Raw genomic sequence first — 15,953 nt, 5'->3', positions numbered from 1 at the left:
GCCTTTCTAAGTATAAAAAACTTATTTAGAAAATGAAGCAAATTTCATCATGAGAATAAGTCATTGCTGCCAGTGAAGATACTGAGCTAAATAGTGCTCAAATAGATTCAATAAAAACATTAATCCCAAGGTTTCCTAGATTAGATGAATTGAAGGATCTCATGTAATACATTTCTATTGCACTTATAAGGAGTGTTATACTATTGGCAGCTAAGATTTAGTGGGTACCTACCATATGTCAGGCAAAAACTGTATTACTGAGTTCTCATATGAACTCTCAGAGGTAGTTGCTATAATTATTCATGTTTTGAAGATGAAGGGACTGATACATACAGATAAGTTAAGCAAATCTCCCAAAGTTATGTGATTATTAAGTGGTAAGTAGCTGGGATTTGAATCTATAATCAGGCTCCAGAGTCAAATATCTTAACCACCACATCAACTCAACTGGGTCATATCTATATTTTAATAGTAGGATTTGCTTATCATCAAGATAAGTCATTATATGACAAATGAAGTAACTGCAGATCAGAAAGTTTAAAGAAATGATCCCAAGTCATTCAGTTAGTAGGAAAGCCAAGAATGAATCCTGGTTTCCCTGTCCAATGTGCCCCTCCAAACTGCTGCCTCCCAGTTATATAATATGTTAAGAAAACCAGAAAGCAAATTTAGAAATAGAGTCTGTGGCAAAATGACCACAGAATAATGAAACATGACCAAAGCGATTTAATCATTTCGATTTACATAGCCTGTCTAGGTGCCCCCTCCCAACTCCCACTCAAAGTTTTCTATTCATCATGGCATTTTAAGAAGCCTCAATAAATTGATCTGACTGAATTTCTTAGACATATATAATTCAGCCAGTGTCCTGAGTTATGGCCATGAAGATGACACAGTTTTAGCTCATTTGTAAATGATGTTATTTAAAGCATGTTATTGTTTGGATTGTAGATTAAGAAGGTAGGAGCTTTCTGAGCTATTCATCTGACATCTTTTATTAATTTTAAATTAACCTAGAAATTAAACTGAATTACTTTTTGAGGATGAAAAATTGGTTTGGTAATTATTAGCTTGCATTTTATTCTTAGGTCATGCCTTGAGTTGCTTATATAACCTTCAGAAAGTCAATAAATCTCTCCAGTGATCCACGGAGGGGAAGGAAGAGTAGTGTGGTTAGGTGGCCCGCCTGAGAGCCACAGTGGGGCAGGGGAGCCCCCACACCCCAGCCAAGGGAGGCTGTTGGTGCCCCTCGAGGTCAGAGATCCCAGAAGAAAAAGCAGGCACCCATCTTTGCCGCTCTCCAGCCTCCTTGAGTGACATATCCAGGCACCAGAGTGAACCAGATGAATAGGGCCTGAAGTGAACCCCCAGCAAACCGCAGCAGCCCTACAGAAGAGGAACTGAACGTTGAAGGAAAAACAAACAGAAAGCAACAACAACGGCAACATCAACAACAAAAAGTCCCCACAAAAACCCCATCCAAAGATCAGCAGCTTCAAAGATTGAAACTAGACAAAATCAAGAAGATTAGAAAGAATCAACAAAAAAACACTGAAAACCCAAAAGGTCAGAGTGCCTCTTCTCCTACAAATGATCACGATGACTCTCCAGCAACGGTGCAGAACTGGCCAGAGGATGAGATGGACGAATTGACAGAAGTAGACTTCAGAAGATGGGTAATAAAAAACTCCACTGAGCAAAAGGAGCATATTCTAACCCAATGCAAAGAAGTTAAGAACCTTGATAAAACATTAGAGTAGCTGCTAACTAGAATAACCAGTTTAGAGAGGAATATGAATGACCTGATGGAGCTGAAAAACACAGCATGAGAACTTCATGAAGCATACACAAGTATCAATAGCCAAATCGACCAAGTGGAAGAAAAGATATCAAAGTTTGAAGACCATCTTGCTGAAATAAGGCATGCAGACAAGATTAGAGAAAAAATAATGAAAAGGAATGAACAAAGCCTCCGAGAAATATGGGACTATGTAAAAAGACTGAACCTACAATTGACTGGAGTACCTGAAGGACACTGGGAGAATGGAAAAAGGCTGGAAAACACACTTCAGGACATTATCCAGGAGAAATTCCCCAACCTAGCAAACAGGCCAATGTGCAAATTCAGGAAATACAGAGAACACCTCTAAGATACTCCCAGAGAAGATTAACCACAAGACACATAATCATCAGATTCTCCAAGGTCAAAATGAAGGGAAAAAATGTTAAAGGCTGCCAGAGAGAAAGGCCAGGTCACCTACAAAGGGAAGCCCATCAGACTAACAGCGGACTTTGCAGCAGAAACTCTACAAACCAGAAGAGATTGAGGGCCAATATTCAACATTCTTAAAGAAAAGAATTTTCAACCCAGAATTCCATATCCAGTCAAAACTAAGCTTCATAAGTGAAGGAGAAATAAAATCCTTTCCAGGAAAGCAAATGCTGAGGGATTTTCTCACCGTCAGGCCTGCCTTGCAAGAGCAAACTGGAAAGGAAAAACTGGTACCTGTCACTGCAAAACAACCCAAAATATAAAGTCCAATGACACCATAAAGAAACTGCATCAACTAATGTGCAAAATAACCAGATAGCATCATGATGACAAGCAAGCTGGATAAAGAGTCAAGACCCATCAGTGGGCTGTATTCAGGAGACCCATTTCATGTAGAAAGACACACATAGGCTCAAAATAAAGGCATGGAGGAAAACTTACCAAGCAAATGGAAAGCAAAAAAAAAAAAAAAAAAAAAAAAAAAAAAGCAGGGGTTGCAATCCTACTTTCTGACAAAACAGACTTTAAACCAACAAAGATCAAAAAAGACAAAAAAGGGCATTACATAATGGTGAAAGGATCAATTCAACTAGAAGAGCTAACTATCCTAAATATATATGCACCTGATACAGGAGCACCCTGATTCATAAAACAAGCTCTTAGAGACCTACAAAGAGACTTAGACTCCCACACAATAACAGTGGTAGACTTTAACACCCCACTGTCAATATCAGACAGATCAACAAGACAGTAAATTAACAAGGATATTCAGGACTTGAACTCAGCTCTGGATCAAGTGGACCTAATAGACATCTACAGAACTCTTCACCCCAAATCAACAGAATATACATTCTTCTCAGTGCCACGTGGCACTTATTCTAAAAACAATCACATATTTGGAAGTAAACCACTCCTCAGCAAATGCAAAAGAACTGAAATCATAACAAACAGTCTCTCAGACTACACTGCAATCAAATCAGAACTCAGGATTAAGAAACTCACTCAAAACCACACAATTACATGGAAATTGAACAACCTGCTCCTGAATGACTCCTGGGTAAATAATGAAATTAAGGCAGAAACCAGGAAATTCTTTGAATCCAATGAGAACAAAGAGACAATGTACCAGAATCTGTGGGACACAGCTAAAGCAGTGTTAAGAGGGAAGTTTATAGCATGAAATGCCCACATCAGAAAGTAGGAAAGATCTAAAATCGACAACCTAACATCACAATTAAAAGAGCTATAGAAGCAAAAGCAAACTAATCCAGAGGCTAGCAGAAGAAAAGAAATGATTAAGATGAGAGCAGACTTGAAGGAGATAGAGATACGAAAAACCCTTCAAAAAAATAAATGAATCCAGGAGCTGGTTTTTCAAAAAAAATTAACAAAATAGATAGACTGCTAGCTACACTAATTAAGAAGAAAAGAGAGAAGAATCAAATAGACACAATAAAAAATGATAAAGGGAATATCATCGCTGACCCCGTAGAAATACAAAATACCACCAGAGAATACTATAAACACCTCTACACAAATAAACTAGAAAATCTAGAAGAAATGGATAAATTCCTGGACACATACACCCTCCCAAGACTAAACCAGGAAGAAGTCAAATCCCTGAACAGACCAATAACAAGTTCTGAAATTGAGGCAATAATTAATAGCCTATCAACCAAAAAAGGCCCAGGACCAGACAGATTCACAGCCAAGTTCTACCAAACCTACAAAGAGGAGCTGGTACCATTCCATCTGAAGCTATTCTAAACAACTGAAAAGGAGGGATTTCTCCCTAACTGGTTTTATGAAGCCAGCATCATCCTGATACCAAAACCTGGCAGTGGCACAACAAAAAAAGAAAACTTCAGGCCAATATCCCTGATGAACATCAATGCAAAAATCCTCAATAAAATACTGGCAAACTGAATCCATCAGCCCATCAAAAAATAGCCACCATATGGATCACCTGAGGTCAGGAGTTCAAGAGCAGCCTGACCAACATGGTGAAACCCTGTTTCTACTAATTATACAAAAATTAGCTGGGTGAGGTGGCGAATGCCTGTAATCCCAGCTACTCAGGAGGTCAAGGCAGGAGAATTGCTTGAACCCGGGAGGCAGAGGTTACAGTGAGCCGAGATTGTGCCATTGCACTCCAGACTGGGCAACAAGAGTGAAATGCAGTCTCAAAAAAAAAAAAAAAAAAAAAAAACAAAAACACCAACTTAGCTACCATGATCAAGTCAGCTTCATCCCTGGGATGCAAAGCTGGTTCAACATATGCAAATCAATAAACATAATCCATCACAAAAACAGAGCCAAAGACAAAAATCACATGATTATCTCAATTGATGCAAAAAAGCCTTTGACAAAATTCAATATTCCTTAATGTTAAAAACTCTCAATAACCTAGGTATTGATAGAACATGATAAGAACTATTTATGACAAACCCACACTCAATATCATATTAAATGGGCAAAAGCTGGAAGCATTCCCTTTGAAAACCAGTATAAGACCAAGAGGCCCTCTCTCACCACTCCTGGTCAACATAGTATTGGAAGTTCTGGCCAGTGCAATCAGGCAAGAGAAAGAAATAAAGGATATTCAAATAGGAAGAGAGGAAGTCAAATTTTTTCTGTTTGCATAATTCTATATTTAGAAAATCCCATCATCTCAGCCCAAAAACTCCTTAACCTGATAACCAACTTCAGCAAAATCTCAGGATACAAAATCAATGTGCAAAAATCACCAGCATTCCTCTACACCAACAACAGACAAGCAGAGAGCCAAATCATGAGTGAACTCCCATTCACAATTGCTACAAAGAGAATAAAATACTGAGGAATACAGCAACAAGGGATATGAAGGACCTCTTCAAGGAGAACTACAAACCACTGCTCAAGAAAATAAGAGAGGACACAAACAAATGGAAAAACATTCCATGCTCATGGATAGGAAGAATCAATATCTTGAAGATGGCCATACTGCCCAGAGTAATTTATAGATCCAATGCTATTCCCATCAAACTATGATTGACATCTCACAGAATTAGAATAAACTACTTTAAATTTTATATGGACTCAAAGTAGACCCCGTATGGCCAAGACTATCCTAACTAAAAAGAACAAAGCTGGAGGCATCACACTACCTGACTTCAAACTATACTACAAGGCTACAGTAACCAAAACAGCATGGCACTGGTAGCACAACAGACATGTAGACCAATGGTACAGTACAGAGACCTCAGAAATCATACTACACATCTACAACCATCTGATCTTTGACAAACCCGACAAAAACAAGCAATGGGGAAGGAATCTCCTATTCAATAAATGATGCTGGGAAAACTGACTAGCCATATGCAGAAAACTGAAACTGGACCCCTTCCTTACACCTTATACAAAAATTAAGATGGATTAAAGATTTAAATGTAAAACCCCAAACCATAAAAACCCTGGAAGAAAAGCTAGGCAATACCATTCAGGACATAGGCATGGGCAAAGACTTCATGACTAAAACACCAAAAGTAATTGCAACAAAATCCAAAATGAGAAATGGGGTCTAATTAAATTAAAAAGCTTCTGCACATCAAAAGTAACTATCATCAGAGTGAATAGGCAACCTACAGAATGGGAGAAAATTTTTGAATCTACCCATCTGACAAAGGTCTAATATCCAGAATTTACAAGAAACTTAATCATATGTACAAGAAAAAAACAAGCCCATCAAAAAGTGGGCAAAGGGTATGAACAGACACTTCTCAAAAGAAGACATTTACATGGCCAACATATGGAAAAAAGCTCAACATCACTTATCACTAGAGAAATGCAAATCAAAACGACAATGAGATACCATCTCATGCCAGTCAGAATGGCAATTATTATAAAGTCAAGAAATAATAGATGCTGGCAAGGCTGTGGAGAAATAGGAATGCTTTTACCCTGTTGATGGGAATGTAAATTAGTTCAACCATTGTAGAAGATGGTATGGCGATTCCTCAAGGATCTAGAACCAGAAATACCATTTGCCCCAGCAATCCCATTACTGGGTATATACCCAAAGGAATATAAATCATTCTAATATAAAGATACATGCACACATATGTTTATTGCAGCACTATTTACAATAGCAAAGTCATGAAACCAACCCAAACGCCCATCAGTGATAGACTGGATAAAGAAAATGTGGTACATATATACCATGGAATACCATACAGACGTAAAAAGGAATGAGATCATGTCCTTTGCAGGGACATGGATGAAACTGGAAGCTATCATGCTCAGCAAACTAACACAGGAACAGAAAACCAAACACTGCATATTCTCACTCATAAGTGGGAGTCGAACAATGAGAACACATGGACACAAGGACGGGAACAACATACACCAGGGCCTGTTGGGGGTTAGGGGGTGAGGGAAGAGAATTTAGAGGACAGGTCAATAGGTGCAGCAAACCACCATGGCACAGGTATACCTACGTAACAAACCTGCACTTCTGCACATGTATCCCAGAATTTAAAATAAAAATAAAAAATCAAATAAGTCTCTCCTACTCTTAAGATAAAAATTATGAAGCTTAATTTTATCATGCTTTCTGTCATTTAGCACTGGCCAACAATTCTCCTATGTGTAACGTGTTCCACTTACAAGATTACATGGAATAAGCAGATGAAGTCAAAGAAGCACATTTACACACATGTTTAGCAGGGCTTTCCCCTCTCTCTCCCAAATTCTAGGCCTCAGGCCCCATGCTTTTAAGACTTACTGAGACAAAATTGCAAGGGCTGAGACGGAAGACTTGAAAAGAACCTCACCTTTCCTACATGGTTGGTTATCAATCAGTATAACCTTTCTGGAGGAGCATTTTCAATACACAACAAATGCCTAGAAAATGTGCAAATTACCTAGAACTTCCACTTTAGTAATTTACTTTATTCAAATATTTATTCACAATCATAAAAGAATTCACATCACAGCATCATTTAAAATAGTAAAACAACAGCAACAATTACAGCCAAGCCTGTGTATGGTAAAAGTCTGGCAATAAGAGATTTGTTAAATAAAATGATACTTCCATACTGTGCAGTATTCATTCTACAGCCATTTTAAATATATAATAGTTATTGACACATGGAAATGTCAATTAAAAGTTAATAAAATATGACCTCTTTTTTTTAAAAAAATTTATATTAATAGTCTAAAATTTAACAAGGATTATATCTGAGGAATGAAATTAGTGTTTATTTCTTATTCTTCTTTGTGAGTTTCCATATTCTCCAACTTTCCCTAAACAAACTTGGAACATTTCCTGGTCTGATCTCTTTGTAATTACTGACTTTGGATTACCATTAAATTTGGGGTATTTCTAATCTGAATGCTCACCTTGGCCAGGTGCAGCTTCCACGGTATTTATCCTCAGCAATGGTGACACATCCATCTCTTTCCCAGCATCAGTTTGGCTGTTTTGTTTTGGTTTTGTTTGCCTTTGTTCCATCAATGTTCTGTTGGTAAGATCAAGGGGAAGCCCTGGTAAGAATCTCTTTTTCCTTTCAGTAATCCTTGAGCATCTTACTCATCACTGTGAGCTGAGCAATTAATTTATTCAAAGCAAAACTTTAGAGTAACTGACAAATGGGAGGAATCTTTCTCTAATTAATTTTACTGATGCTATTTATGTTAGAATAAATAATGCCCTGGGGATAACTAGGCTTGCGAATGAACATTTACTTAAACATTGACAAAGGGAGTGATGTGTATGATCGTAAGACTTTCTCCAAAGTCTCTATCTTACATAATAAATGTGCTCCCCAAAGTAACGGGGCATGAAGAAAAAAATGCATGACCTTGCAACTGAAAAGAGAAGGAACAAAGAGCTTCCTATAAGACAAATATTCATTCTGTAATTTTCTGATTGGTAAGTTTAAATCCGACATAATATAAACAGTTAATGTCTTGAAAAGGGCAAGGCAAAGCTTTCTTGGAGGAAACTTTGTTTATCTGAGTAACTTCAGTTTTGTGTGGGTTTGGTTTCATGCAATTAGGTTTCACTTCCTGTAATAGATCATTATTTTTTTAACCCATGATGAAGAAAGTATGTCAGTTTATATCATAGCAATTTGAGCAAGCTAGCATAATTTAATTAATGTATCAGGTCTTATCTCACACGGGGTTTTTCTGCAAAACTTCAAATTGTCCAAGAATGCCATTGTTATATGCAAACATAAATATTTTCTGTTGGCACAAAACTTTTCATGTAAATTTGTCCATATTCAATTATGCTTAGCTGAATCGCCAGGCTCAAGAGTCATTGTGATTGAATTTCACAAGAACATTGGGCTGGAAATGCAAATATAGAGCTTATGGACTTATTTTCGGAACACCTGTCTGCGTTGTGTGATCTGCAACAGTATTATCGAATGGTTCTTTTTATAAATGTTCAATATGCTCAATTCTGTAACAATATCTTCTTTTTTGATTCGAAAAACACTTATTTTACTGTCTTAAACAAAAACATAAAAACCAGATAGGCAGGGGAAGTCTAGACGACTTATGATTGAAGCAGCTCTATACAGAAATGAAGATGGTACAATGCTGTGACTTCAAATAAAATGACTAAAACAAACACTCACAAACATCTTCATGTTTGTAATAATATATTAATGCACAAAATATCAAAAACACAAAGTCTGGTTTTTTTCCCTGTAGGTTTATGATAAACTATCAGACTTCTATTTAACACATTTACTTTTACAAGCCTTCAGTGTTTAGAAGTGTACACTGCACAAGTACACACATGCTGGTATTTTACCATGAAAATTTTAGTTTTAGTTTTAGTTTTCATCTCATACTAGTGACTTGCCTTTTTACCCATACTTATATACATTTCACTTCCATTGTAAGACATGTAATACCTTTCTAGTGGTACATTTTAATCAACATATATTTTAAAAATCTTGATTTTTAAATGAGTTATTGTAGTGCTGTGACATGACAGGTTTAGCAGTTGAAGCACAATATGGTAACTACATTGTACTGTTTAAGCTAATTCACAGCTGTAGGAAAATGTTTGGTTTTTAAAATATAACCCAGATGAGGCTGGATAGTAATAAACACTGAAATACTAGAAAACAGTGAATGAATAAGTAATATGATTTTTCATCAATGACCATTGATTGTTTTGTTTTTAGGGACCTGGAAGAAATTGTCTTGAGTTTTAAATGTTCTGGTGAATTGTAACAGTATCTATTAAAAGTCCAGTGGTAGTTTAGACTCATTTATTTCCAGACACTTCTCAAATACTTCAGGTTTGTTCAAACTCAAAAGACCTTCATCTAACATCTCCTTCCTACCATCCATTTGAAACTGTTCATGCCCTAGGGGTAAGTGAATTCTAGAGAAACGTGCAAAGTTAACAACCAAGTTATCATGGTGTCATTTTCTCTACCCTTTTTATTTTCTAAAAGCTTCAGAAGTTATTTCACAAACTGCTACTGCTCTTTCTCCTCCTCCTCCTTTTAAACTGCTGGAAAGATGCACTACCTAGTGCTAGGCAAAGCAAAACCCAGAAAGAGCTGGAAAATTCAGTGTATTCTAAACTTAGATTCCATGAAGTTTTAAGTGGGTCTAAATTTGGTAAAACCTGTTCTCTCATTTTTACTGTCAGCTTGTTTTAGATCATCTGGACTTGATTTTCAGAGAGAAGAAACTAAGGATCAAAATTCAGCTGCATAACTTATTGCCAAATCAATACTTTAATGGGCATATGCATTTAGGATGTATGTGTTTGCATGTGTACATGCGTGTGTGCTCATATATGCCTTTAAATAAAAGACAAGCTATACATTGAAACTAATGATTAATCAAATCAAGTTTAAGGTTCCTACTCCCATCCCTGGTGCTGACTGTGGGTTTGCATTGGAAGGAACAGTGGAAAGCTATCAAGAAATGGGTCTAAATAGTCTAAAACTTTTTTTTTGGAATGTTTTTAAGGCAGCAATCAATGTAGAGAGTTGTTTTTTCTATAATTTATTGGTCAAACAACTAATGCCTTTATTGACCTATGTTACATTTGAAAAGAGGATGTCAAAATTCATACTTTTTTCACAGGTTTCTTCACGAGACCCTGTATATAGCAGTTATTCAATACATTTTAGTGAAATGAATGTTTGGATAAATGAATCAGTGAACGATCCTGTCTACAAAGGTATATAGAACATTCAGTGATTAAAATAATTTTATGTTTTCTTATGAATATGCTATAATTATGCATCTTTATTTAAAACTATACTCATATTACTGATGGCTATAATCAATTCATTTCTCTTAACTTCTGTCGTGTAAAAATCCTTGTTTGGTCCTCAGGCACCCTCTAATCATATTATCTACCCAAGATGTTAATATTTAATGATATTTGTGTTAGCCTCCAAAATGACCCCCAATGACCCACACCCTTATATAGCCCCCTCTGGATTTTGTCGATGAATCAAGGCTGGCCCTGTGTGACAGAGAGAGTACAAAAGTGATTGTATATGGCTCTCGGGGGTGTCAAGGTATTTTATCTATCACCCCGATCTCTTAGATTGCTCTCTCTGGGGGAAGATAGCCACCATACTATGAGGGCATTAAAGTGGCTCCTTGAAAAGGAAAACTGGAGCAGCTAATCAACTTCCCACACGTGTAGGGAAGGCACCTAGGAAGAGGATTCTGAAGCCCCAAAGCCTTCAGATGACAGTCACCCCAATCAAAATCTGACTGTAACTACAAGAGAGCCCTAAGTGAGAACTAACCAACAGCGCCCTTCTTGAATTCCTGATCTAGAATTTATGGGCATAAAAAATCATTACTTTATGCCATCAAGTTTTCCGTAACTAGAATAATATTTAAAGGTCTTCATAGTTGGCAAATTTATGAATTAATTCTCACTTTTAAGAGAATTGAAAATCAATAGTGATTCTAAGTTCAAGCACATGCTTAATTGTCCAACAATCATCTATCAAATTTCTCTTAGAAAAATTTCTATGTTGAGTGTATTCAGTTCTGAGTCATTAAGTTCCTCGTTGGTTTTGTTACTATTTAACATTGGAAAGCTGCAAAGCAGCCAGTTCCAGGTCCAGGTTTTCTAGACTTTAACTGCTTTGGTGGATTTACTTCTTATCCCTCTCTGAAGACATGCAGACAGGGATAAGAAGTAAATTTTATAGTCGATATCTACAGCTCCTCTTGGGATTGGTGAGCTAGACCTGTTGAGTGAATAAATTAAGGGATTAACAAATAATAAGTGATAAATACATAAACCAATGAACAGATTTTGGTGCCTAATATGTGTTGGGGACTGTGTTAAGTCTTTTCACACATTATGCTCTGTGTTTTCACCCACATTACCCCTTCTATGTGTGCAGTGAGTTTTGCAGTACCTCACATGCATTTGATCTTTCCAATTAGCCTGCGTATTCAGAAAAAAAGAAATCTCATGGACGAAGGGAGTTTGTTAGCATTTGGTATCTTCCTGACATAATTTTCTTGTGAAGGATGTAATCAGCTTTTGATTTGTATAAAAAAAAAATCTGAGAATTACCCATTAATTGAGAGCTTCAACTTCCTCCAAGAGTCACAAGACCCCTGCTCTCTAAGGTCTTCATTCTTTTAGAGAAAATGACACTAAACAAAAAGAAGAAAATTACTAAACAGCAATAAGCTCTGTGCAGAGATGTAAAATAGAATGGTATGCTAGAGTCACTGGATGGCTGTTTTAGAGGACAGATAACCTGAGATTTGAAAGAAGTGACAAAGATGAAGGGAAGGGTATCAGAGGCAGAAGGAGCGGAAAGTAAAGGCCATACAAGGTGGGAAAGAGTTTGGTGTACTTGGGATGCAACAAAGGCAAATAGGTGGCAGAAAAGTGTACAAAAGTGTACAATGGGCAGGAGAAGAGTGTACTTGTCAAATGAGATCAGACAATTCAACCATTCCAGGTAGGGAGACCTTTCTATGATAGAATAAAAAATTAGAATCTTTAAGAAAAAAAAAAAGCACTAAGAAGCCAATGAAGATTTTAAGCCAGTGATTTGACTTATAATTTAAACTGCTTCTGGCTGCTTTTTGGTAAATGGGTATTATATGGTGGCAAAAGTAAAAGCAGAGAGTTGTTAGAGTGGGCGCTAATCCAATCCGACTGATGTCCTTATAAGAAGAGGAAATTTGGACACACGAACAGCCACCAGGGATGTGCACACACAGAGAAAAGACCATGTGAGGACACAGAGAACTAGTATAGTAGTATAAGGAAGGATAATGGTGGCTTGACCGCTTCACCATGGAGATAGTAATAGAAAATGAGAGAAGCTGATATATGCAATGTACACTTTGGAGGAAGATCCAGAGGAACTTGATGGATTGCATGTGGGGAAGCTGTCTGCCAAACCTCAGCTCTTTTGGCACTGTCACCTTTCTGGCCGGCACAGCTCTGTTTATACACTCATTTTAGTTTTTACTGCCCTTTCCCTTCTTATTTTGTAAAACAATAAAAATTGGAAAAATGAAAACGTTGGTATTAATGATAAAAACCATGGATTTCATAAGTGTGATATCTCAAGACAAAGACAGATATCATTAGGCATGCTGAAAAGAACAATTTTTAGCTTCAATCTGTTTGTTAAATAGATCTAAAGCAGTCAACGGTGTATTCAATGCTGAGGAATGAAAGAAAACTAAAGGTTGTGTAAAATGAGGGAATGTATGGTTTCTGTAAGAAAAAGCACACTTAAAAATGTTTTTTAAATCTCTCTGGCCTGGAAATCTATCATGTTTAAGTCTGTTGTTGAATTTTTGCACACTTTTGCTATTCTACTATTCATGTTTTCACACTTTCAAATGTATATAGTCCTTTAGTAGGTACTGTATTCTACTTAAAGTAAAGGACTGTAGATATCCGAATGTAGCCCACGATCCATTTATTTATCTGTTAATATATGTATGGATGTGTGTGTATGTGTATATATATACGTATGTATATATGAATGTGTGTGTGTGTGTGCGTGCGTGTGTGTGTCTTGGACATTTTCTATGTGCTTGGGTTGCAGAAATTAACAAATCAGGTCAGACACAATACCTGCCTTCATAGGGTTTATAGTCTAGTGGTTATAAAGATAAGTAAATAGGCAATCACAATGGAAAGTGACAAGAGCTATGATGGGCGATGTGCAAGGTGCTGTAGAAACACATAGGTAGATGCACCAACTAAGGCGAATGTGTTGGGGTGGGGAAGAGTATTGGAAAACACCCTGAAGGAAGTGAGTCTCAGGCTGAGGCTCAAGTTTGAGCTCTGTATGCTGTGGAGCTCATCCATAAGAACTGGTCGCCTCACTAAGGTAAGAGTGCAGTCATTCATTCATTCATTCAGTAGCCACACCCTGGAGCAGCTTCTTTTCCCTCTGTAATATGGCACATGCAGTAAATCTGGTAATGAGACAAAATTGCTCTTATTTTAAAAAACAGGCCCTGGAAAGAAAGACAATTGTTAAGGCCAAAGATGGAAGTGAAGATGAAGTAACCAGTATAATAAATTAATGGCTTTTAGCCATAAAAATAGAAATCTATGATCTATTGAATTGTTTTACAATAGCTCCGCTCTATGAGGCAACTGAGCTCTCTTGTGTGTTCCGTATGGAAATAAATAAAAGCAGATTGAAAAATTGATACAGCAAGTACCAGAGCCAGTAAAAATGTACTTGTAGGTGAGAGAGATCAATCACCATGTGTCTGAAGAGGTGCATAGATCTTCACTTGTGGTTTTGCTTTTGTTTTGTAGGAAAATAGTGTTTTATTGTGGCATTCACAAATTTGGAAATTCACAGAGGTCTCTGGACTTCCTTTCTGCCAACATGAAGGCCTATCCCCTTCAGAGAGATAAGATAGCTTCTCTAAAGAAAAACTTATAGAAGTCAAGCATCCGTCTCTTGGGTCTCTTAGCATCTTCTGAGTAAACCCATCCACTTTTGCATGGCTGTTTACCCTCTCCAAGTTCTCCTTCCCTGCATATGATAGGATAATGCCAGAGGTAAGAAGTCCATGAGACTGACTTTCAAATATTTTAAATGTTATTTACACAGCTAATTTAGTTTGCCCAAGTAAAAATGTGCACACCTAACAGGATCTATAAATGACTCCCTAGTTCAGCTCAGATTTCACTTAAAAACTGCTCCTATTATTAGCTTATTAGCTGTAAGTGCTTATGATAGGTTTCATGCTCAAATGAACCTTCCTTTTGAGAAGCTAGAACCCACCTGCAAAGTAAAAAACAGTGAATTCACTTACCCAGGGTCAAGAGCAAATTCGGGGTAAGTTGAGGTTTCTAATATTCTTGCTTATGTCCATGGTATGTTTAAATTTTAGGTCCCTGGATTAATACTACAAAGATTATCATACATATCCAACCCTATAAAAGCTCTCACCATGCATTCCATTCCTCTTCTCTACCTTCCTTTTCAACTAAACACTGAAAAGTGACTATTTAGAAAATCTCTTTATAACTACTTTCTAAGCTATTACATGAATATAGTTATTGAATAGGATCCTGTATGAATAGGATGCTAGTTTTTGATCCACTAGAAAAAAGGCATGGAAAAAATTGTTAAGCTAAGATCTTTGCTAGTGCTGAACAATATTTAGTACAATAAAAACAGTAGAACTGAGATTTTTTTAAAAATATATGTTTTCTTCATATATCATTTTAATAACCTTTTAAAAGCTTATAAAGCAACTTGAAGCTTACTTTTACTTGCTAAAGCACCAAGATTAGTATAAACCTGGCTTTGTCTTACCTGATACTAGAAGTCCCAGAAGGCCCTTGCTGTAGTGTGGTCACACCCCAAGAGTGATATTATATAGACATGTTGTGTACTAAAACAAACAAAAAAGCCTAATAATGCATACACATAAGCATCACTATGTGTTTTTCTTAAAGTGACATTTTAGTTATTATTGTTGTTTATTTTAGTTTCATTTAGGTTGAGGAAAAAAAAGCAAATGAAACATTCTCTCCACAGCATCAGGTTGTACTCCTGCTGTATCTTTGGGCATTGAGCATTTCTTTGTAGTCTGTGAAACTAATGCCCATGTTTGATTTATATTTGTGCTTAAATGCCCTCAGCCCAATCCCTTAGAAAACTAATGCTTATCTGTGAAGCTTGGTAGTTGCTGTACAAGCAGTATTCCACGTCTTCATTAAATTACAATTAGGTGACTTTTATTTCTTTTTTTAGTTCAGAGCAGTTTGTAAAAATGAAAAAAAACTTGGTACAGTTTTGCATCCACCCAGGAACCTCAGATAATTTCTCAAATGTTTTTGGTCCAGTAAAATCCCAAATGCATCTTGCCAAGTGCCCTTTTCTCCATGACTTCCAAATCCATGCAAATTTCAGGGAAAATTTAATCCATATGTTTCTGATTCATTCACTCTTAACTTATCATATTGTTGTCTTCAAAAAACAATTTTATGTCCAAGAAACCCTACGGGCATTTTATATATATACACACACACACACACACACACACACACACACACACACACACATACATACACACACACACACATAATCTGGCTTTAGTCAAATTTTTCCCCAGTTGGAGCCTGGAAGCTGTACATTTTCAAGTATTAAGGATTGCTTGAACTTTCCCCCAACTTCAT

The 15,953-nt window shown here is 36.7% G+C and overlaps 1 long non-coding RNA gene across 1 annotated transcript in view, besides 2 other annotated features; it reads right to left on the bottom strand.

The window, feature by feature from the left end:
- Positions 1–15,953, bottom strand: part of LOC105377999 (uncharacterized) — a 92,281-nt gene that overhangs the window by 63,787 nt on the left and 12,541 nt on the right. Inside the window, exon 3 of the long non-coding RNA XR_942986.3 lies at positions 7,652–7,770. This is a non-coding gene — a long non-coding RNA (uncharacterized LOC105377999). The remainder of the gene's footprint in view (positions 1–7,651; positions 7,771–15,953) is intronic.
- Positions 1,295–1,344: an enhancer, noted in NCBI's record as "active region_25051". NCBI's record gives its function as "activates an Ori minimal core promoter by ATAC-STARR-seq in GM12878 lymphoblastoid cells {active_cell/tissue: GM12878}" and the evidence as "EXISTENCE:reporter gene assay evidence [ECO:0000049][PMID:35858748]".
- Positions 1,395–1,624: an enhancer, noted in NCBI's record as "active region_25050". NCBI's record gives its function as "activates an Ori minimal core promoter by ATAC-STARR-seq in GM12878 lymphoblastoid cells {active_cell/tissue: GM12878}" and the evidence as "EXISTENCE:reporter gene assay evidence [ECO:0000049][PMID:35858748]".

The sequence above is a fragment of the Homo sapiens genome, chromosome 6 (assembly GCF_000001405.40).
Source record: "Homo sapiens chromosome 6, GRCh38.p14 Primary Assembly".
Classification (NCBI taxonomy): domain Eukaryota; kingdom Metazoa; phylum Chordata; class Mammalia; order Primates; family Hominidae; genus Homo; species Homo sapiens.
This window is presented reverse-complemented; position numbering and strand designations above follow the sequence as displayed.